This window comes from Homo sapiens, chromosome 10, assembly GCF_000001405.40.
Source record: "Homo sapiens chromosome 10, GRCh38.p14 Primary Assembly".
In the NCBI taxonomy this organism is placed as follows: domain Eukaryota; kingdom Metazoa; phylum Chordata; class Mammalia; order Primates; family Hominidae; genus Homo; species Homo sapiens.
The window spans coordinates 108,247,207-108,270,884 of NC_000010.11; the positions used below are offsets into that span (position 1 = coordinate 108,247,207).

The following is a 23,678-nucleotide window of genomic DNA, read 5'->3' on the forward strand; positions in this document are numbered from 1 at the left end:
TAGATCTCTCTCAAAATCTGTTTTTGTCTTCCAGCTATATCTGCTTATTAGGCTCTATTAAACCACATGCTTTCCTAGCCCTGTTTCTTGGAGGGCTTCACCCTGCAGCCAATAATTCAATTAGGAGATTGACAGATGAAAAATCTTACAACTATTGGATCTTCTTCTGTCTTTCTGTGTATTTATACGTGTGGTGTGTGTGATGTTTATAAAGAAGAGCTCTAATTAATTGGTCTAGAGAAAAATAAGTATTTAGATCAAATATTTTTGAAGGAAAAATAAAAGCTATAACACCTTTTAGTTCATGTGACTTTAATGTTTGAGAAATACAAACATTTTTAAAGATAATTGGTAAAATACAGATGTCTTCAAAATGTAAATATGTGTTCTAAATTAGGGGTGGTCAAATACTCGGTTTGCGAAATGTTTTAAGGATACAGACTGCTTCTTTGGCTTTTGAGAACTGTTCAACTTGCCTGATTTACAATTTGATAAGGCCTGGGGACATACGGAATTAACTACATTCTTAAATATGCTGGAAAGAGACAGACTTCATTTGTGCCTAGTACATAATTAAAATAACTTAGCAGGTTTTACACTAAAGTTAAAAATTGCTAAGAGTTCCCATTATAACATGTAATTGAGACTGCTGAAAATAAATTTACATGCAAAGCGTGTAAGAAAAGTAAAATGTGTTTGTAGTGAAAGATTATAAGAAGGCATGGGAATGTAAATTTTTGCCTAGTTTAGAGGGTTAAAGGATTGTTTTGAATTAGATAAGATAAAGCTGAAACTTGAAATAAATTATGGAAGGTTTGTAAAAATTAGTCTTACAAAATAAATTGTATGTGTGAACATATTGACTAACTTCAAAAATGCATTATATGGTTTTGCCATAAATTGAACATCAGAATAAAAGCACAACAAGGTTGTATTAGGGTACTGATCTACTCTTTAACAAACATTTTTAAAGGGTTATACAAAGTTTATGAGAATCTCACCTCGTGGACAAACTGGTTAAGATTGGGTAGAATTATCTATAAAGTTTCGTTTTAAAAAATTGGGTTGACATTAGTAGTAGACTAATGAAAGGGTGATATTTGGCTTTCTCCCCATTGATTTTCATGTAATAATAAAGGATAAGGAAAGATTTTGGTTTGCCTTGCAAATATACTACCAAAAAAAAAAAGAAGAAAACAAGAGATAGACTAGTTGGAAAACTAAGTCCTCCCTCTTAATGAGTAAAGGTTTTTGCCTTGTTTAAACATGTTTGAGTCATTATTTTGGCTAAAATAAATAACTTATAGTAATCTGGAATTCTAGTTCATAATATCAAGTGATTTGAACCTCTAACATATTTAATGGGCTTCCAAAAATCAAACTTCAGCTTCAAAAATTGTCTTTCCTGACCCCTGAGTTTTGGATGATGCAGAGGGCCCCTGGAGCATCTAAGAGTGAGGTAACCAGAATTATTTCACATGTTTAGTCATGTGGGATTGCCAAAATAACAATAATATTTGACCTTCTTCAGGTTACATTTTAGTGAGTAATGTTAATATATGTTCCAAAATTATATAGGAGTTCTAAAATTCTAATGTTCGAGTATATGCTATCAATCATAATTAAGGTTACTAGGTTCAGTTAATGTAAACCACGGAAATAACCAAATTTCTTTGTCAATCATGTTTTCTATTGTAACTACCCTGGACCTTTTGTCATTCACAGACAATTATTGTCTTGTTTGATCCTTTTCAAAATGTGGTTTATAAACAGGTATAGGACTTTTACAGGTGTTCTCAAATGCAGGTTTCTGATAACCTTGGAGATTGTGACATTGGAAAAACCTACCAGACTCATGAAGAGTTGATATATTCATGAATATCAAGCAGAACAAGAGTTAACAGAATGGACTGAACTAACGGAAAACTGAAGTAATCTTTTTAACCTTTTTGTTTAAAACGTTGCTAATCCTTGTTTTGTTTATCAGTGTCAAGGAAACTTATTTTGAGTTTTTTACAGTCTTTAATAATTGAGTAAGGTATATTACTGTGAATAAAATTTGGAGCATATTTGTTTCTTTCTGTCTGGCTTCTCCAGAATTTGGAAACTATCTATGAGTATTCCTAACTTACAGAAATATAGTTTTTTGCATCAGTGCAGTAAGAATCCATTTTCTTTTGCAACAGGAGACAATTGGAAAAACTGATTGTTTTATCAAGGCTTTGACTAAAATTATATGTTTCCCTTTAAGTAATCAAGCTTGACTTGCAGAGCTAATTAAACCCCCTTAGGAAAACTGGCCTCATACTTTGTCTACACAGTCCCTGTACAGGGTTCCTAACCTGTGATGAGTACAGAATGTCACTTTCTGACAAGACCAGGAGCCCCATGTTCTTGGGACCTCAAGAAGAGAGAGATTTACCCAACTCATAGTTATTTGAGGGTACAAACTCATGGCTGGGCTAAGCTTTAAAAGGTCTCTCTGAGATTCCTTGTGTTACAGAGTTCCATCAAAGCCAATTTAAAAGCCTATATGAAAAATAATTATTCTTGCTGCACTTTATGCAAATAATCAGGCCAATTGTAAGACTAAGGTTTATTTTGCAGAAAACTTAGTCCTATCATTATTTGTTTTTGAGAAATAAAATGAGGACTGGAGAAAGAAAGATTATGTTTCAAAACTTATCATACACTTGTCATTAAATTCTAATCTTATCAGTTGTTTTTAAATTTTTACCTACATTTTAGGCTAACCCTGCTTATTCCTGTGAACCAACGGTGATCTCCAGCTGTAGCTCTGAAGAAACAAAAGGGATGGGCCATCAAACTCCAAATGGTCATGCAACTGGAACATTGGACGATGGCTACCTTTTACTGGGGACCCTGAGATAGGCCTGCCTATCTGACTGCTGTTTTTGCAAAACAGCGCCCCCTGTCAGCAGGGGGCAGTTAAGATCAGTCTTCATCCCTATGCTAACAGCACTTAGATGTACCTCTTCAGAGAGGAAAATGATAGAGACAGGAGGCAGACAAATGCCTAGGCAGATAGGGGCAGGTCCCCAGTGAAACCCAACCTTTAAGCTGAAAACAGTCCAGGGTAAATCATCAGACCAGATTGAGAACCCACCTTCCTGTTTGGCATGCTGTCCTCTGATTGATCCCCATACTTTGCCTATTTTACATATACCTACCCTTTCCTAATTGGTTTTCTACACTGTCATGCCAACCTTTGAATGGTGTCTTTGCTTTGACCATTTTTTGCATACTCACAAACCAATCACCACACACTCCCTATTCTGAACCCATAAAAAGTCCCATGCTCAGCCATATTGGGGAACTTTCCTGTCTTCAGGCAGAAGAACAGCCCCCTTGCATTCCCTCTGTTTGCTGAGAGCTTTCCTTTCACTTAGTAAATTCTACTCCATTCACTCTTTGATGTCTGCATGCCTAATTCTTCCTGGTCATGACACAAGAACCCAGACCTAGCTGAGCTAAGGAGCAAAAATCCTGCATCACTAGTATCTGATACACTCCTCAAGGAAGCTGAAAAATAATTTATTTAAATAACTTTCCAAATGGAAGTCATCAGGAGCATCCAGGAGAACTCTGCCTATGGTATTCCTCAGAAGGTTCTCTACCATGGCTTAGATGGCATTGAGGGCCTTGGAACCTTCATAAAAGCCTTATCCCAGGTTGCTTGGCTAAATGACACTTCAGTTAACCTGCTGCTTCCCCTCAGAACTGTCAGAGATTTTTTCAAACAAAGACCCAAAAGGAGGTAAGTAGACTTCCCCTCCTTTTTAATGCACAATGATACACATTAATTTTATCAGAAAATGGGAGAATGTGGGTTTTGGCAGTGAGCCACAGGCCTTGTGGGCTGCAGAGTTTCCCCTTTGCGGAGGTTTTACAGAGTCTGTTTTCTTAGTTTGTTGTACTTACAATGTCAGTGTCCAGCTGCTCTGACTAATTGAGGCATCCGGCTTCAGATGGCCCAGGATCATTTGTGCTTAGGTGTACATCTTATTTTGTCAGCGTGATTCACTTCCACTCCCAGACCTGGCCATAGGAAATTAGCTTGCTCCCAAATGAAGATGAAATCAATAGCTATTTCAGGTCCCAGGGTTTTAGTTAACAAGATATTTTATTAAATTACGGTGGTATATGATGGAGATGTTCTCAGTTCTTATCAATTATGAATGACCTCCTTTTTGAGAAAACAAGATGTGTCTTCTGGAGCCAGAGATCAGCCAGCCACATTGCTGTGTCTGCAGCTACTGGCATCCTGAGTTAGCAGACAAGCAGACTTGGCTTTCATGATCCATGCTCTAATCTAATTCAATTAACAATCCACTGCTCTCATTCTGAATAACTGAGGAAGGTAGATCTCTGCAGAGTAGATCTTGGCCTTCACAAAGGCCTACAGAAATTTCCACTTAATCCCAGCATCCTGGGAGAAAGCAGGGCATGAATTCTACAGGGCTAGCTAAAGCATGGGGACTAACTGGGTATTCTGGATGAACAAAGATTTAAACCATGTTAGATCAACATTATTATTCCTAATAATGGCAGTGATGGTATGCTAATAGCTGAAATTCTGGAGGTCTTTCTGCCCAAGGCCCTGGGATAAGTGTATGTCTCACTTAGTCTTCATTATGACCTATGAATTGGAAAGTATCACCGTCTCTATGATTTTTGGACTTAGGGTTGAAGATACTGAGTCTCAGAATGGAAAAGTGATTTCCCAAAGGCCAAATGGCTATTTATTGTCAGTGCTAGAATTTAAGGCCAGATCTGTCCAATTCAGAAGCTCATAGTCTCACCCATTGTGATCTAGTCCTCTAACACTTCTTCTAACACCCCAGGTTAATGGGGTTCTGAGGAACCTGTGCTGGAGGACCTGAGTTCCAACAGCTATTTTTTTGATATTTGGTGTCTATGATCTCATTGAAAGCCTCTGTTTGATTTCAGATTGTTACGTGTAAAGGGGGAGATGGAGCAGGGTGAGAAATGTCTGACTGGACCACCAACAGATAAAAGCACACATATGGGAAGAGGAAGTCCAGATTTCATGGCATGTCATAAGGTACTAGAGCAAAGCAGTAGGTTTCATTTGTTATTTTGTTTTGTAGATTTTTTTTTAAAAAGATCCTCTAGAAAATTCAAGATTTATCATAGTGGACTAAGGGAGAATATTTTGTTTGTTTGTTTATTTGTTTTCAGTATCAGCCACTCTCAGTGATCAGATATAGTATTAAACAACAATTATAAAAGAATAAGATCTGTTCAGTCCTCTGTGGGATAGTATAGAGCAAGCCTTAACAATCCCATTTGCAACTGAAGAAATTGAGGCTAGAATGCTAAGCAAACTGCCTAAGGTCAAGCAACTGTTTTTAATCAGCAGAGCTACCCATGGTTCTTGTGTCTGCAGTTCCAGATGCTTCTTTCTTGTAGCTCAGCAGCAAAGAAAGAGACCCCAAGGATAAGGTGCTGGGGAAAGGTCTTTTCCTACATGCAGAGTATATGGGACAGACCAGAGTTGAACATTCAAGCTGTGGCCCTAAATCATTCTTATTTGCTCTATTTTGTATATGGAACAGTTTGAACTGTGTATTGTTCAGCTCACTTTCCTGGGAAGGAGCATGGAGTAATCAGACAGAATAAAGGGTACTCCATTGTTTTGCTGGCCAGTAATGATAGAGAGCTCTGGTAGAGTCTGCTTTTAATAGAGGCAATGTAATAGGCAAGGCTTTTTGTATTGGTAAATGTCAGATGCCAGGCTTTCTCTAGGGGTGAAGCAGGGTGGGGTAAGTGGAATGTTGAGATGTCAGTGCACAGGGATCTTTTTTGCTTATGAGGTCACCATAAGTGATGCAAATTACCAGAAAATCCAGTGGCTGTATGATCACATATTCTGCTTCTAACAGTGGCAGTTGTTTCATAATAAACTCATTATAAAGACAACAGTTCCCATCATTGCCAGTTGATTAGAAAAACAACTCTGATTATTTTTTGTTTCAAATTTTTGGGAGGTGAATCTTAAGCTAAGCAGAAGGAAACAATCTAGTATTTGAGAGCTGGACTCATGTTGCAACTAGTCTAGTGTTATGAAAAACTCATATATGTGGTTTCTGCATATAAGAAGCTTACAATCTAAAAGAGGAAAGGAGTCTTAGACCTTTGTAACAACTGGAGAAACAGGGAGGTGGTTTGCTAGAAAATGCAATCAGAATTGGATGATAAAAACCTTCCTTTGTCACTAACAAGTATATTATGGTACATAAATATATAGGCTTCACAGCCAGATTCAAGTGAGTTTGCATTCCATTTTGACCACTTTTTAGCTGTGCTCCCCTATGTGTATTTATTAATTCTGAAAATTAATTTTATTACCTGTAAAATAAAGATTATTAACTGACTAATAGGATTTTTGTGAGGAGAACATTAGACAATGCAGATAATTTTTAGGTTGGATGATTTATGTGCAAATTTAATTCTGTCAATATTGCAACTTAAATACACATATAATAAAGAGAAATTAATATATATTTTTCTTACTAAGTATTCTAAAACTCATAGTTTAGTCAGAATAAGAGGGGGAACTATGTTAAAGATATGTTAAAGAAAAAAATCAATTCAATTCAGAGTGTTGTTAATAGGACCAATTATATCTCAATGGGCATTATGAGAAATGATTTGCACTTACTCTTACAACTCATTTTTTAATGTGATGCCTGACAATATAACATCCTAACTACTGAATCGGAAGTAGATTGACATGGAAATATAATCCATCCTTGTCTTTCAAATGATCAGCTAACAAACAAACAACAGTTGATGGATCTGTATTGCAGAGTACATAATTCAAAATTGCATTTAAAAAGCCTTTCCTAATTTCATGTACATAGCGAGTACAGTTTGCTATTAAATTTATGTGTTTCATCCTGTTAAATACTCCTCTGCTGAATTTTTCTCACTCATTTCTCTGAGAACACAGTTCATCTTCAGGCTTGTCAGGTGCTCTTTCCCCAGGTCCTGATGGACATTAAATCTGTCAGGGAGAGGCATATTAAATTTGACTACATGTTTAAACAGTGGCAGCCTGAAGCTCTTGAGTCACAGTGGCACTGAAGGTGACATATTATCCCTCATGTGCCATTTTATACTGGAAGCTCTCATAGCTGTTTGGTCCCCACCATTCCAATTAGAAATGAGTGGGATGACATTTGCAGTTTCTGTTTCTCTTTAAGGGGTCCATCTTCTAAAGCAGAAAAGTGACATAAACCTCGGGGTACATTGCCAACTGTTCAGGCACACAGTGCTCCTTTTCCACCTTACTTTTCCGTTGGGGTGGGAATAAAGGAACCCAGAATTATGTGATTGCACATCTCCAGGGCAAGGGGACACTCATTCTGACAGCTACAAAGCATGCCTTTAGAAATTACTAAGAGTTGGTTTAAAAACTGTCATCCAAGGAACAAGGCAGAGATGTTTGTTCCCAAAGTTGACAGCTTCTATCTGGTGATCCTGAAGAGTTCTAATGTGGTCGAATCCAGCACAGCTTTCCTCTAATACCCTCTGTTTTGCAATTAAAGTCATGCAAACTCATTGAATGACAGTATTTTAGCAAACTGAACTGTATAAACAAGGGATTGTTTTCCATCCTTCTAGCAAACAGTATTGACACATCAACTCTGATAAAAATAAAAGAGATTGTGGTTTTTGTGAAATATACTTGACTGAAAGTTCCTAGCACAGTACTTGGTACTAAATAGGTGTTCTGTAAAAGGATCCCCCTCTGTCTTCATATAGGGCACTCTGCGTCCTTCCTTTCTGAGATTCTGAAGACCCTTTTAGTGACTGACAGAGACTTCCTTCCTCAGCAGAAGTTAAGGTTCAGGAAATACCTTTCTACTTAATAGTCAGGCAAATGACCACCTTAAATAGGAAGGAAACATTATTGCTTTGTTAATGCTGAGGGAATCCCGGTTAACTTTCTATCAAACTTATGTGGACTTCTAGCTTAGTATCACCCAATTGTCCCCTATAACAAGATATTCTATCTTAGAGTAGGATGGTTAGGCTGAGATGGTCATTTTGCTCTCTTTACCAGCTCTATCATGTAGGACAAGCTAACTAGCCTCTGAGCTGCAGTGTTTTTGTGTTTTTTAAATTTTTAATTAAAAAATGTTTTTTGTTGAGATGAGGTTTCCCTGTGTATCTCAGGTTGGTCTCAAACTCCTAGGCTCAAGCAAGCCTCTCCTTCTCCAGCCTTCCAAAGTGCTGGGATTTCAGGTGTGAGCCACCATCCCTGGCTGTGTTTTTGTGTTTTATTGTTATATTTTTCATGTGAAATAGGGATCAACATCCTTGGTAAGGTAAGGTGAGGATTAAGTGCTGGCATAAGTAAAGGCACAATAAATGATAATTTGACTTAAAATATTGTAATAGTTAATTTTATGTGTCAACTGGACTGGGCTATGGGATGGCCAGGTATGTGATTAAACATTTCTAGTGTGTCTGTGAGGGTATTGCTGGAAGAGATTAACATTTAAACCTGTAGACGACATAAAACAGATCACCCTCCCTCATGTGGGAAGGCTTCATTCAATCCTGTGAAGAGGTAAATAGAATAAGAGCCTGAGTAAGGAAGAATTCTCCCTCTGCCTGACTCTCTTCAAGTGGGAATATTGGTTTTCTCCTGATTTCAGACAGACTCAGACTGCAATTTACATCATCAGCTCTCCTGCTTCTCAGGCCTTTGGACTAGTCTTAGAACTATACCACTGACTCTCCTGCATCTATACTTCTCAGCCTCCAAAATCGCCTGAGCCAATTTAAATTTATCTTCTACTGATTTCTTGTCTTTGGCGAACTCTGCCTAACACAAATATTATGACTTAAAATACATTTATTTAAGGTAAACATTTTACTTTCTCCACACAGCCTTACTATTAAGTCAAAACACCACTAAAATATGCTATCATGAGTTATCAGTTGGTCATTATAAATATTATAATGGATTACTTTGCCAAATGAGAGGACCCCATGGTGGCCATCAATGAGGGGGTAGAGGAAGGAGTAACCCACAATATTTTGGAATGTCCTGTGACAAACTTTTGCTTGTGTAAAATGAAAAAAAAAATTGTGCCAAATTTTGCAGAATTTCCCAAGTCTCAAAATATCTCTATTCATTAAGGAGAAATCTATACAGTGACTGATACTTTATTACAAATTTGTATGAAAATAAAAAATATCTGAGCCTATCATATGCAAATAAGAAGAGAAAATCCAACATTATTAGCTGAATAGCAAAAAGTCACAAAACTGGAGGCTCTAGTCATCATTATTGAAAGGAAAAAAAGATAAAGAAAAACAAAATAAAAAATTAGCCAGTTCTCTGTCTTTGAGTTTCTCTAACTAAGAATATTTGAGTTTGAAGAGGTTTCTCAATAAGTCCATTAAATATAAAAATCCCACTAATTATATTATTTCCCCAGATTTGAGTTTCAAGAGATTTTAGTCGAATAGGAATGGGCATAGTAGCTGGAAGTAAGGCTTAGAATCAATTTCTGGTTTCAAGTAGCAAATTTAGGACTGCCTAAGTCTGTGATTCTAGCCAAAGCTTTTTCGTCCTTGAAGCTTCAGTTTTCTCATCTGTGAAATGTGAAAAATAATAGCCCTAACCTTATAGGATTGTATAAGAAGTAAATGAGATAGTGCAAGTATATTTATGTAGCCAAATTTTGATGTATGGTAAGAACTGAAGAAATATTATCAATATTATTTCTAATCAATCAAACAGGAAGTAGACATTACAGGCATGACCATACAGAAGATATTGCTCACAAAATCAGCATCGACATCAAGTAGATTCTATTATCATTATTCTAGATAAATTAACCAGCAGTCAAGTATTGGGCAAAAGAGCTTGGATGCTTGATGAAGAAAGATTAAGTGTGCTCAGAAGCATTGAGAAGCTATGAAAATAAAACCGAAGAAAATATAGCCAGAAACAAAGGCCTTCCAGGGAAGAAGCTTCCTAAATAGAAGCCCTCTCAATGAGCCAAAGAATATCCAAGGGAAAATGACATTCTCTAGTAACAGAAGATACTAATTCTAGGGTTTCTGCACTAAACAGAATATCTAGGATTTTAGTACTTGTGTCCTCAGCAGGAAAGGCAAGTGCTTCATGGCTAAACACAGCCCTGGAACAGGAAACTGCATACTTTCATGAGCACTGATTTTGCTAATCCGATATAAGAAAATCATATACATGTGGCAAATAGGAGTATGCACACTGTCCCTTAAGATCCAAATAAGTGTTTGAAAAAACTCTTAGAACCTTCAAATTATGCAAAACACTGCAAAAATGCTAAATGCTTCTAACACTCACCACTAATGATAATGCGATTTCTTGCTGAAGCTCTTCCTTAGGTATTTTATGTTCTCTATTGAGAAAATATCATTATTTTTACTTACAATGTTTATGGAGAAATACTGACCTAAATTAACACCAAAAGAAAATAATTATTAAAAGCAAGGACATCTTTCCCTCTATATTTTTAAAGTAGCTAGTCTCCCAATGTGGACCTATTGAGGAACTATGTCTCCCAATACCAATGCACTGTGTAATTCTCTTTACCTGGAATTTGGCCAGGCTTATCACTTGCTTTTGACCAATAATATATTGCAGAAAAGGCATCTTGTGACTTCGAGCCTAAATCATAAGATATTTTTCAGCTGGTGTCTTGGTGTTTCAAAATGTTTATCTATATAGCTTATAGGTAGGAAGTACAAATACTCCGAAAATGCCATGCTCTGAGGAAGCTCAAGCTGGTCACATGGAGATGTTACGTGAAGAAAGAGAGATGGCCAACTAGTCAACAATTGTTCCACCCCTTCCAAATGAGGTGCCAAACATGTGAGGGAAGAAGCTACCTTTGTTTTTCATACCATCAGTGTCTTTAGCTAACTCCAACTTCAACATGTGACACCCTGCCTATGAACTGTCTTGCTGATCCCAGCCAACTCACAGTTGGTAAATTACATAACATCTTCTTGTCTTAGTTTTCTGTTCTCTAAAATGAAGATAATAGTAGTACTTACTCTTACGCTTAGTAGAATAATTTATTATTAAAAATAAATACTACCATTAAAAAGGAAATAAAGAAGAAATAGAGAAATAAAAGTGAAAAAAAGGATATAAAACTACCCTGAAATCACTACTTTTTTAGTACTAAGACAAGACATGTTGCAATGAATCCTTCTTGGAGTTAAGGAGTTTACTAAAGGAGTCTTTTCTTGTTTTCTGAACTTCATGGAAAATATCATTAGCAAGAAAACTGTAAATTTGAGAAAACCCAACAGCCTCCTTCTGGGAGCCAATGCCACAGAGACCATTAGAGGAGTGACAAGCAATTTTTGTTAAGGTCTGTATGTGTGCATGTGCATATGCTTGTGTATCTCTGTGTGTATGCATGCGTATGTTCAAAGAAAATGAGTTTTTCCAGAGATAGACATAAAGGGATTCCAGAGCTCATCCTCTCCAGCAAATAGAATCTACAGCAGAATGCTTTGGTATGTGTTAGGGAATTAAAGGCATAATTATGGAGGGGAGCTGTAGGAAAAAGTGTGGTTACAGCGAAATAGAATAATAAAGGTTAAATGATTATCATTAGTCAGTGTCACTGCACATTTCCTTAGATCTATAAGGAGAAACAGTTCCGCCCCAGCCTCTGTCTACTGTTATCAATTCTCACTGGCCTTAGACAATTAGTTTTAAGGGTAGCACCTCTCATTATTTGGGGTCTAGAGAAAAACATAATGAAATGACCACACTTTTTCATCAAGTCAGTGCTTCTCATAAACTTAAAACAATCAACATGTTTTGTCTTATCATAGTGGGAGAACACAGCAGTCACATGCTGCAGAATATATAAGGTAGTTGTAAATTTTGTTAGGTATATCAGGATACTGCCAAAAGTAAAACAGGATACTATTACAAATTTCTTTATAACCTGCTCCAAAAACTTGGACTGTTCCCTGCAAGCAGGATGGATGGATCCCTTAAGGATAAGACGACCAGCTGAAGCAGGGAGTTAACATGGTTAGAGCTGCTCCTCACGGGAATCTATAACACAAAGAAGCAAGTATGTCTTTTCCATTGGTTAAACATCTTCTTGTGTAATATAATAAAGAGAATATAAGTAAAATCAATATATATTAACACCAAGAAGCAGGAATATCTGGCAAAAATCTTCAAGCAATTTCTCTATACAGAAAAGTTTTAAATTCCCATGATAAAGGAAACTAAAGTGCAGCAAAATGTTATTTCACCACAAGAGAAGAGTTACAATTTCTAAACTGTCTAGGGCCCCACAGTACGGCAACTCCTAGTCTGATATGACTCCAGTCTACTATCAGAATGACTTGGGTGGAAGAAGAGGTAGAACTTCAGCCACAACAGAATAGGTAGCTTCAGTTGTTACCTGAAGAAACCTTGAAGAAAACTTCTTCTGTCCCCTGATATCTCCCTTATTATCTTACTGTGGGGTCTGCATTTTCTGCCTTCAGTTGCTGATTTGAGGAATGGGCCCTATTAAAATTCAATAGTGTTGCTTGGAAAGGTTGATGTTTTGTGTTTTGGAATAAGTACTTGGAAAGGAGTCAAGAAACTGAGTCCTAGCACCAGGCTTGTCAGGACAATCTAAGTATCACTGAACATTTTTGAGCCTCAGTGCTCTGTCCTTTTTAAAAGTTTGGTATAAAGATAAATGAGAGAAAATATTAGAAGAAAACATACAACAGAACCCCCAAATTTTTAAAATAGTAAATATTATATATGTATATACACACACATATATATACACACATATACATATATATATATATATATATATATTTATGGTTACAATAGTATAATATGGTTATACTATCCACAGTTTTCAATGTGTAATTTGGACATTGGCTCAGATAAGTACACGAAGTAAACGGGTCATATTTCTATGACCTTAGCTGAATTTCTTAACCTTTCTGAGACTCAATTCCTATATATTTAAAGTGGAGTTAATAACTCAAATTACCTTTTAGGTTTATTAATGGAATTATGAGACAGCCTGTAGAGTTTGGCCTGTCATTTGGCTTAACAAAGTCATTTAATAAATGTCAGAGGAAAAAGGTTTTTTTTTATTTTTGTTTTTCTTTTTTTTTTAAGAGAAAAGTTTTCATGAAAATAGAGGTCTGTGGAAGCACAGTAATGGGCCATTTCTTGCGCAGGGAGGGCATGAATGGGATTCAGTTCTGGAGAGCCAGGGCAACCCTCCAAGGACATGATAAATACTCTAAAAGGAAATGGCAGAAAAAGCAGGCTCTCTTCTGTCAGATTTGTAACTAAGCCATCCCTGCCAACCTCATTTACACAAAGGTTTAACGTCATGCTAAGCATTGTGTGCAAAATGTGATGTATCACAGTTCCATTGTGGTTAATAATGTGGGCTTTGGATGCTCTGCTAGGAACGTGCTGAGTGACCATGGCTAGTTACTTAGAGCCTCTTTGTGCCTATTTCTGTGTCTTCCAGAATGAAAAAGGACTTTATTTGTGTGTGATGTGTGCTTCCCACAAGACCTGTTACCAGGAGTAAGCTCTTAATAAATGGTAACTGCTATGATTACTATTTTTCTTGTCCTCACAGAGTTTACATTAGAGATGGAGGGACAAAGCTAACCTACACAAAATAAAGACCCAAGAGTAGAATAAATAATTAAAGTACAAAATTATTTATTGATTTTATACATAAATATTTACTGAGCAGCTACTGTAAATCAGGCGGTGTGCTGATAGCTGGGAGTAGTGTGATGAATTCACTATCTATGCTGTCTGTCACATAAAATTTACATTCAGGTGATGCTGATAACTCAAAGATTCTTCAGTCCCTGTTACAGATGAGCCTTATAGTTTCCTACAACAACACACATGCACACATGCATCTGTTTATCTATCTATTATCTATTTATTATCTACCTATCTAATCTATCATCTATATATCAAAAAAGGGAGGATTGTTGCTGAAAGCAATATTTTTTCCCTAAAATAATCCATATCTCAAATAAGCAGAAATATTTATGAAGGTGATTATTAGCTCTAGTTCATCCCTTTTCTAGTTAATGTAATTTATGAAACTTGTATATCACTGAAGACAAGCAGCTGAAGCAAGGACTAATGCTGCAGCACTCCCACTTAATGCTAAGATTTAAAATATCAAGGCCACACTCTGGTATCCATGAGGCTTAATATGCCTCCATGGATATACAACAGCACAAGTGACTAGTATGGATTCCTACCTTTGTGATGGATGTCAAACCTGTGCCTATAACTTGGAGGCCTCCCTCTCTGACCAAGCACCTGCTATAGATGATACGACCCTAAGGGCTTGAGAGGAAGGAAAAACAAATCACTCTTTCCCCTACTACTTTTTGGCTACTTACACTGCTGTCTCCCTTCCCTGATTTTTAAAATCTTGTTTAAGGATTGGATAAAAGGTGATATCTGCTTCGCAATTTCTTCCAGCCCTACCCCTTGCGTGGTGGTGAGAAAACTAACAGGTAAATGCTTTTATTATTACTTGACTGAGACTAGAAACCAATAACAATGAAATGCGTAATTTTAAGGGTATAACCAAATAACTACTTCTCCAGAGAGTCAAAAGAGATGGAGGTTGATATTTGATATTATCAGACAATTTTTATTTATTTTTATTTTATTTTTAACTTTTAAGTTCAGGGGTACTCGTGTGGGTTTGTTACATAGGTAAACTTGTGTCATGGGGGTTAGTTGTACAGATTATTTCATCATCCAGGTATTAAGCCTAGTACTCATTAGTTATTTTTCTTGATCCTCTCTATCCTCCCACCCTCCATCTTCTGATAGACTCCAATGTGTGTTGTTACCCTCTATGTGTCCATGTGTTCTCATCATTTAGCTCCCACTTAATAAGTGAGAACATGTAGTATTTAGCTTTCTGTTCGTCTGTTAGTTTGCTAAGGATAATACACAATAGCAAAGACATGGAATCAACCTAAATGCCTGTCAATGGTAGGCAATATTTATTTACTTTAAGGACATTTATTATATAATTAACAGATCTTTTGAAATAAAGTCACGAGATATCTGCCATTCCTTTTAGAGATTGAAAGAAAAGTATTCCATTCTGCAAAGCCCTGAAAATAGTCCACCATTCAAAGTCAGCCTCAAAGCCTATTGTCATGACTATAACATTTTCTTCATCATCATCATCATCATCCTTTTCCTCCTCCTCATCGTCATTATCTTTCTCCTCAATTGATTAAACCTCTTTGCTATAGAATCCAATCCATTTTGAATTCTGTTGATGGGGACTGGATCATCTCTAGTATAGTGGACACTTATCCTGAAGAAAGAAACAGGACCCTGTGGCCCAGGCTGAACTCTGGATGAACTTCATCTCCAAGAGGGTTGCAGAATCCCCTTCTAGCTCCTAGCCTTCTCAGACCTTGGGGCAGCAGAGAAAGAAAGTCAGCACTAAAGGCTGTGTTTAGACAAGATGCCACCACTCTAAACAAGAGTTTTACACAACAGACTGTTGTCTTAAAAAGGTTACGTTATCTAAAGAGACATTGCATTTTGGTAGATAAGAGGACTATTTTCATTGTCAGAATATATCTGATGAGAAAAACCCAGAGAAGCTTTGGAAGTGGGAGAACAACATCCATTCATCAGTCTTCTTATACCTGTTAAGCTAGTAGCTTCAAAAATGCTGTCCTTTATTTTCAAAGATGACTTCTCATTGTATATATTTTCCCATTTACAGACAATTAAATTGACATTCAGAGACATTAAGGACTTGTCCAAGGCCACAAAGCCAATAACTAGCAGACAAATAATTCAAAGTCAGGTCTGACTCCTGTCCTAATGTTCTTTCCACCCTACCATGTGCCTCCAAAGACTTGCATACTGGCTCTAGCTCTGACTGAATAGCGACAGACACCATTTTATTCAGGACACAATTTTTCTCTAGAATCTCTGTTCCGTGAATAAAAGCAATGATTGGGCTAATGGAGTGCCAAGATTTCTTCACGCAATGAGGTCTTCACCATTTGGCCCAAAGTTTCAGTGCTGTGAGTGCTCAACAGGAAGGAAGTTAAGCTCAACCTACGCAGGGCCCCAAACTATCACCCATTATGAAAATTAGAACTGCCCTCAGAACTTTTAACCCCATAAGAAATGCTGAGGAAATGTACATAAGCCTACTATAAGCTTGGCTGGATCAAGTTGGGCTGGTGACACCAGACAACAGGATGTATTGAGGACATGGAGATTTTTCTGAAAACACAAGGAGCCTATGAGATTGTCCTATCCTTCAATCCTGATGTTTTAGATACCCTTCAGCCTGGGAATAGAAGAATTGCTCAGGAGGTATTTAGATATCTGTATTCATTTAAGACAATTTAAGGCACTGTCCTTTGGCATAAGCAAGAACCTGTAGGCTCAAAGAGTCATAACACCAACTATGAGCCATGTAGATAAGTCACTCAACCTGGTTAGGCTTCAGTTTCCTCGTCTGAGTGCCTGCTCTTCTCATTTCGATGTACAGGAGTCTAGTGATAAACATGAACGTATCTCAACATGCAAGCTTTGGGTGAAAAATTACAAAGGAAAATATGACCAAATTGAAGAATAAATAAGAATGGTTAAATGGTTGCTTGCTTTGATAATTTAAGCTTGCTCGGAGTAATATTCTCACTATATCTGTATCTATATACTTTCCTATGTTTATGTGGATATCATCTACATCATATTTATCTGGACAAAGAACGAGAAAGAGAGAAACCATATTTTTTGAGAGTTATTTTACATGTGTTTATAATTCTTACTTTGACCCTAAAACACAAATCAGAATCAACTGAAATGCTTATTTAAAAAGCTGATTTTCAACCAGATCTATTGAATTGGTGTCCTGAGTCAAAGGAATATGCAACTTAAATAATTACCCATGTGATTCTTACATGGGTAAAAATCTATGATTCTGATTCTAGATGTCCCACAGAGCTCACTTTGGGAAATGTTACAGCACTACCTACTTTACATGCTGTCCTTAGAAAATCAGGGAATATCAACATTTGGTCTGGCAAAAGCAGTTCATAAGTCTATGTCTATAGAATCAGGAAAAGCCTAGCAGCTCAGAACATTCCCTTTGGTGTAGTCAGCAATACCAGAGTTCTTAAGCCCTGAGACTTTCTATTGAGACAATACAAAATTTAGTGGTAAGGCAGCATGAACTCTGGAATTGGACAGTCTAAGACTGAATGCCAGGTTTAACAGTAATTTTCTGGGTGACCATGGAAGTGAGACTTACCTGCTTCATCTGTAAAATAGGTTAATAAGCCAATCCAACTCTGTGTTTTTATGAATACATGAAATATATTAAGATGCTTGATGTAGTGTTTGGCACAGAACTTGAGAAATGTTAGCCAGCTAGGAAAACCAGGCTTTTATGTCATATATTTATTCCTGGTCACATCTGAAGAACATGCCAATGTAAATAAGGATAATTATCTTAGAAGAACAAATAAAAGTATATCAGTTATTTTTGCATTAAAAAGATGCACAGTGGCTTAAGCAAAAAATGATTTCTTAGTTATCATAATGTTGTAGACTTTTTTTTTTTTTTTTTTTGAGATGGAGTTTTGCTCTTGTTGCCCAGCCTGGAGTGCAATGGCAGGATCTCGGCTCACTGCAACCTCTGCCTCCTGGGTTCAAGTGATTCTCCTGCCTCAGCCTCCCTGGTAGTGGGATTACAAGTATGTCCACTATATAAGGCTAATTTTTGTATTTTTAGTAGAGACGTGGTTTCGCCATGTTGGCCAGGCTGGTCTCGAACTCCTGACCTCAGGTAATCCACCTGCCTCGACCTCCCAAAGTGCTGGGATTATAGGCGTGAGCCATGGCACCCAGACGACTGTTGTTTTTTTTTTTTTTTTTTTTCCAACCAACTTTTGTGGATGAAGTCAACTGATGGCTTAACTGGAACTGGAGAGTCCAAGTAGCCTGACATTTATATCTAGCTATTGGGGCTGGCTGTTAGCTGGGGCAGCTCAGCTTTCCTTCTTTTCTTCCACTAGATTAAATAAATAGGGCTTGTTTGCAGTAGGGTGATCTCAGGGGTTCAAAAGCCAAGAGGAAACCCTATAGATAGGTCCCTTAAGGTCTAAGCTGCAGAACACAGAATCACTTTCACCACATTCTGTATTGATTAAAGCAAATAACAAGACGAGTCCAGATTTTAGGGTATGATAAATGTACTTCAATTCTGGTGGGAGAAGTGACAATGTCCATTACAAAATGACACAGATATAAGGGACCAATGCTCCATTAAGATCATTAATATAAATATCTATAATAAACATCAGTCAAATTGAAAATATAGCTGTAAATAGGTGAGGGAACCATAATCTCATAGTCTAATGTAGACCTAATCTAGGAAAAATATTTTTTTCATGGAATGTATGCATGTGCCTCTGACTCCCTTTACTGCCAATATACTAAACATATTTATGAGAGTGACCTGGTGCTTTCATTATCAACATGATTCAGATTGTTCTGTATCAGAAGATTCACAACCAGGAGATGAGAGGTGGATTCTCCTCCCCATCCCTTCCTAGCTGCCTCTTCCTCCTTCTTCTCATCATCACTGTATATCAGACCCAGGTGTAAGCATTTTAAATTTTTAAATTTAAATTATTAATTATTTGTTATTGCCCTATTTTGCTGATACGCAACTGAGACTTCAAATACTGTTCATGTGTACAGAGGCAAACTAAAGAGGCAACTTCTTAATCTTTGCTGCTGCTGCTTATTATCAGTGTTTACTCTACTTATTCGGTGTCTTTTGCCAGAGCACAGTGAAGGGAAAACCTATGACACTGCATGCATGTACAGATTGAGCTTTGGTCGGTGACTAGTGATGCCTTCTCTGATCCCTTCTGCCAGGAGAGCTGGACATTAGGGGTGGTCCATGATGATAGTCATCTCTACATCATTAAGCATATCTCAGTTTGTCATTGTCAAAGCCCTACTAAGAGCACATTATGCTTTAGGAGAACAATGAATTTTGCCTGATAATAAAGAACAGGAATTAGATATATTCTCCCAGAGACATAAAAGGATTAATGATATTAAGTAGGCCCCAAAATGCATAGATGTACATGTTCTTCAGTTATTCCTTTGTAGTTTTATGTTGAATTGTGAATTGGAGCCACACTACATGTACCATTCAGGTCTCTGCTTAACATAGTCTTCTCATGAGCAACTTTCTATATTTAATGGTTGAGTATATATTTACATGGTTTAAATATGTGAAAATATGTATATAAAAATCTTAAAACTGTATGGAGAACAGACTCAGTTTTTTCCTTGTTCACTTAGATTCTACTCTCTTCTTCATAGAAAACCAACCACTTTTATCTGTTTCTTAGACATCTTTTTTTGTTGTTTTTTACAAAAATATAAACAAATATAAATTGTTACTACATCTTTTTCTAAACAAAATTTGCCTGCCATGTCTATTATTCCCAGTTTTTATTTAGATATATCTATTACAGCTCCTTCATTATGTCCATGGGTCCATGGAAAGCTTCCTCATTCATTTTGCAGATGCTTGAAATTCTAACAAAGAGATTAATTATAATTCATTTAACCAGCCCTTTGTTAATGGATAATGTGATTTTGTTGTTTTAATTATGTGGCTATTACAAGCAATGCTGTCATTGAATTCCTTGTGTGTATACAGACAGACATATAATTTCACATAAGTGAAATTAAATCAATTTTAAAAATTTTTATTTATATTTTTCATTTTTGTGGGAATATAGTAGGTTTATATATTAATGGGTTTCAAGAGATGTTTTGATACAGGCATGCAATGTGAAATAAGCATATCATGGAGAATGCGGTATCAATCCACTCAAGGATTTATCCTTAAGAGTTACAAACAATCCAGTAAAGCCCTTCGAGTCATGTTAAAATGTACCATCAAGTTATTATTGACTGTAGTCATCCTGTTGTGCTAGGTCTTATTCATTCTTTCTATATTTTGTACCTATTAACCATCCCCACCTCACCCCACCCCCACCATCACACCCAACTACCTTTAGCCCGGCCTATGGTAACCATCTTTCTACTCTCCATGTCCATGAGTTCAATTGTTTTCAATTTTAGATCCCACAAATAAGTGAGAAGGTGTGATGTTTGTCTTTCTGTGCCTGGCTTATTTCACTTAAACGTAATGATCTCCAGTTCCAGTCATGTTGTTGCATCTGACTGGATTTTGTTATTTCTTATGGCTGAATAGTACTCCATTGTGTATATGTACCACATTTTCTTTATTCATTCATCTGTTGGCAGACACTTAGGTTGCTTCCAAATCCTAGCTATTGTAAATAGTGCTGCAATAAACATGGGAGAGCAGTTACCTCTTAGATATACTGATTTCCTTACTTTTGGGTATATACCCAGCAGTAGGATTGCTGGATCTTATGGTAGCTCTATTTTTAATTTGTTGAGGAACCTCCAAACTGTTCTCTATAGTGGTTGTAATAATTTACATTCCCACCAACAGTGTCCAAGAGTTTCCTTTCCTCCACATCCTCACTAGCATTTGTTATTGCCTGTCTTTCGGATATAAGCAATTTTAACTTGGGTGAGATTATCTCATTGTAGTTTTGATTTGCATTTCTCTGATGATAAGTGATGTTGAGCACTGTTTCCTATGCCTGTTTGCCATTTGTTTGCCTTCTTTTGAGAAATGTCCATTAAATCTTTTGGCATATTTTGATCGGATTATTCATTTTTTTCCTATAGAGTTGTTGGAGCTCCATATATGTTCCGATTTTTAATCCCTTGTCAGATAGGTAGTTTGCAAATATTTTCTCCCATTCTGTGGGTTGTCTCTTTACCTTGTTGATTGTATTCTTTGCTGCTGTGCAGAAGCTTTTTAACTTGATGTAATCCCATTTGCCTATTTTTGCTTTGCTTCCCCATGCTTGGTGCTTGTCGGGTATTGCTCAATAAATCTTTGTTCAGACAAATGTTCTGGAGATTTTCTGCTCTGCAATGTTTTCTTGAAGGAGTTTCATAGTTTGAGGTCTTAGATTTAAGTCCTTAATCCATTTTGTTTGATTTTTGTGTATGGTGAGAAATAGGGGTCCAGTTTCATTCTTCTGCATATGGATTTACAGTTTCCCAGAACAATTTATTGAAGAGACTGTCTTTTCCCCAGTGTATACTCTTGGCACCTTGTGAAAAATGAGTTCAGTGTAAGTGTATAGATTTATTTCTGGCTTCTCTATTCTGTTCCATTGGTCTATGTGTCTGTTTTTATGCCAGTGCCATGCTTTTTGATTACTATAGCTATGTAGTATAATTTGAAGTCAGGTAATATGATTCTTTCAGTTTTGTTCTTTTTGGTTAGAATACCTCGGGCTATACTGGGTCGTTTGTGGTTCCATATAAATTTTAGAATTTTCCTTATTTCTGTGAAGAATGTCTTTGGTATTTTGATAGGGATTGCATTGAATCTTTACTTTTTTTGGTAGTATGAACATTTTAACAATATTGATTCTTCTAATTCAAGAATATGGAATATTTTTCCATTTTTTGGTGTCATATTCAATCTCTCTCATCAGTGTTCTGTATTTTTCATCATAGAGAACTTTCACTTCTTTGGTTAATTTCCAGCTTTTTAATTTTATGTGTGCTGATTGTAATTGAGATTAGTTTTTTATTTCTTTTTCACATTGTTCTCTGTTGGCGTATAGAAACGCTACTGCTTTTTGTATGTTGATTTTGTATCCTGCAATTGTGCTGAATTTGTTTATCAGTTCTAATAGTTTTGTAGTGGAGTCTTTAGGTTTTCTCAAACATAAGATAATATCGTATGCAAACAAGAATTTGGCTTCTTCCTTTCCAATTTTGATGCTCTTTATAGCTTTCTCTTATGATTGTTCTAGCTACAACTTCCAGTATTATGTTAAATAACAGTAGTGACAGTGGGCATACTTGTTCTGTTCCAGATCTTACAGGAAACGCCTTCAGTTTTTTCTGGTTCAATATGATGCTAGCTGTTGGTCTGTCGTATATGGCTTTATTATGTTGAGTTATGTTCCTTCTATCTCCAGTTTTTTAAGAGTTTTTATCATGAAGGGATATTATATCATACCTTTTCAGCATCAATTGAAATAATATGGTTTTTATCTTTCATTCTATTTATATGACTTATTACACTGATTGATTTGTGTATATTGAACCATCCTGGCATCACAGGGATAAATCCCCTTCTATCATAATGTTATCTTTCTAATATATTGTTGAGCTTGGTTTGGTATTTTGTTGAGAATTTATGCATCAATATTCATCAGAGATATTGGCCTGTAGTTTTCTTTTTTTGATTTTTTTTTTTATATCGGGCTAATACATTGTCTGCTTTTTGGTATCAGAGTAATACAAACCTCATAGAATGAGTTTGAAATTATTCCCTCCTCCTCCATTTTTTGGGGGTAGATTGAGTAGAATTGGTATTAGTCCTTCTTTAAATGTTTGGTAGAATTCAGCAGTGAAACATCAAGTCCTTGGCTTTTTTTATTTTTTACTGGGAGAGTTTATTACAACTGTGGTCTCATTACTTGTTATTAGTCCGTTTAGGTTTTGAATTTCTTTCTGGTTCAATCTTGATAGGTTGTACTTCTATAGACATTTGCCCTTTTCTTCTAAATTTTCCATTTTTTTGGCATATAGTTGCTCATAGCAGCCATTAATGATCATTCGAATTTCTGCAGTAACAGTTATAATATCTTTTCATTTCTGATTTTATGTATTTGGATCTTCTCTCTTTTTTTCTTAGTCTCGCTAAAGGTTTGTTAATTTTGTTTAATTTAAAAAAAAAACAACTTTTTGTTTCATTGATCTTGTGTATTGATTTCTTCATTTCAGTTTTTCTACTCAGATCTTTATTATTTCTCTAATTTGGGGTTTGTTTTGCTCTTGCTTTTCTAGTTCTTTAGGATGCATTATTAGATTGTTTATTTGCAATTATTCCTCTTTTTTGCTGTGGGCATTTATAGCTATAAATTTCCTCTTAGTAACGGTTTTGCTGTATTCCATAGGTTTTAGTATATTGTGTTTCCATTATGATTTGTTTCAAGAAGTTTTTCAATTTTCTTCTTAATTTCTTCATAGACCCACTGGTCATTCAGGAGCATATTGTTTAATTTCCATGTATGTGTATAGTTTCCATAATTTCTCTTGTTATTGGTTTACAGTTTTATTCCATTGTGGTCAGAGATGTTTGATATTATTTCAGTGTTTTAAAAATCCTTTAAGACTTGTCTGGGGACCTAATAAATGGTGTGTACTTGGGAATAATCCATGTGCTGGGGAAAGGAATGTGTATTCTGCAGCTCTTGGATCTGTATGCTCTGTAAATTTGTTAGATCCATTTGGTCTACAGTGCAGTTTAAGTCTGGTATCTGTTTGTTGATTTTCTGTTTGGACTATTGGCATGATACTCAAAGTGGGGTGTCGAAGTCTCCAGCTATTATTGTATTGGGACCTATCTCTCTCTTTTGCTCTAATAATATTTCCTTTA

The 23,678-nt window shown here is 36.3% G+C and overlaps 1 long non-coding RNA gene across 2 annotated transcripts in view; it reads left to right on the plus strand.

The window, feature by feature from the left end:
• The first annotated feature begins 4,880 nt into the window (after window positions 1-4,880).
• The window catches only part of LOC105378476 (uncharacterized), a 43,084-nt gene continuing 24,286 nt past the window's right edge, over window positions 4,881-23,678 (plus strand). The window contains exons 1-4 of one of the 2 annotated variants that reach the window (XR_946306.2): window positions 4,881-5,086; window positions 13,581-13,657; window positions 14,529-14,604; window positions 15,186-15,659. This is a non-coding gene — a long non-coding RNA (uncharacterized LOC105378476). Of the gene's footprint in view, window positions 5,087-13,580; window positions 13,658-14,528; window positions 14,605-15,185; window positions 15,660-23,678 lie in introns of those variants that run through there. The other variant, XR_946307.3, reaches the window with a different exon arrangement.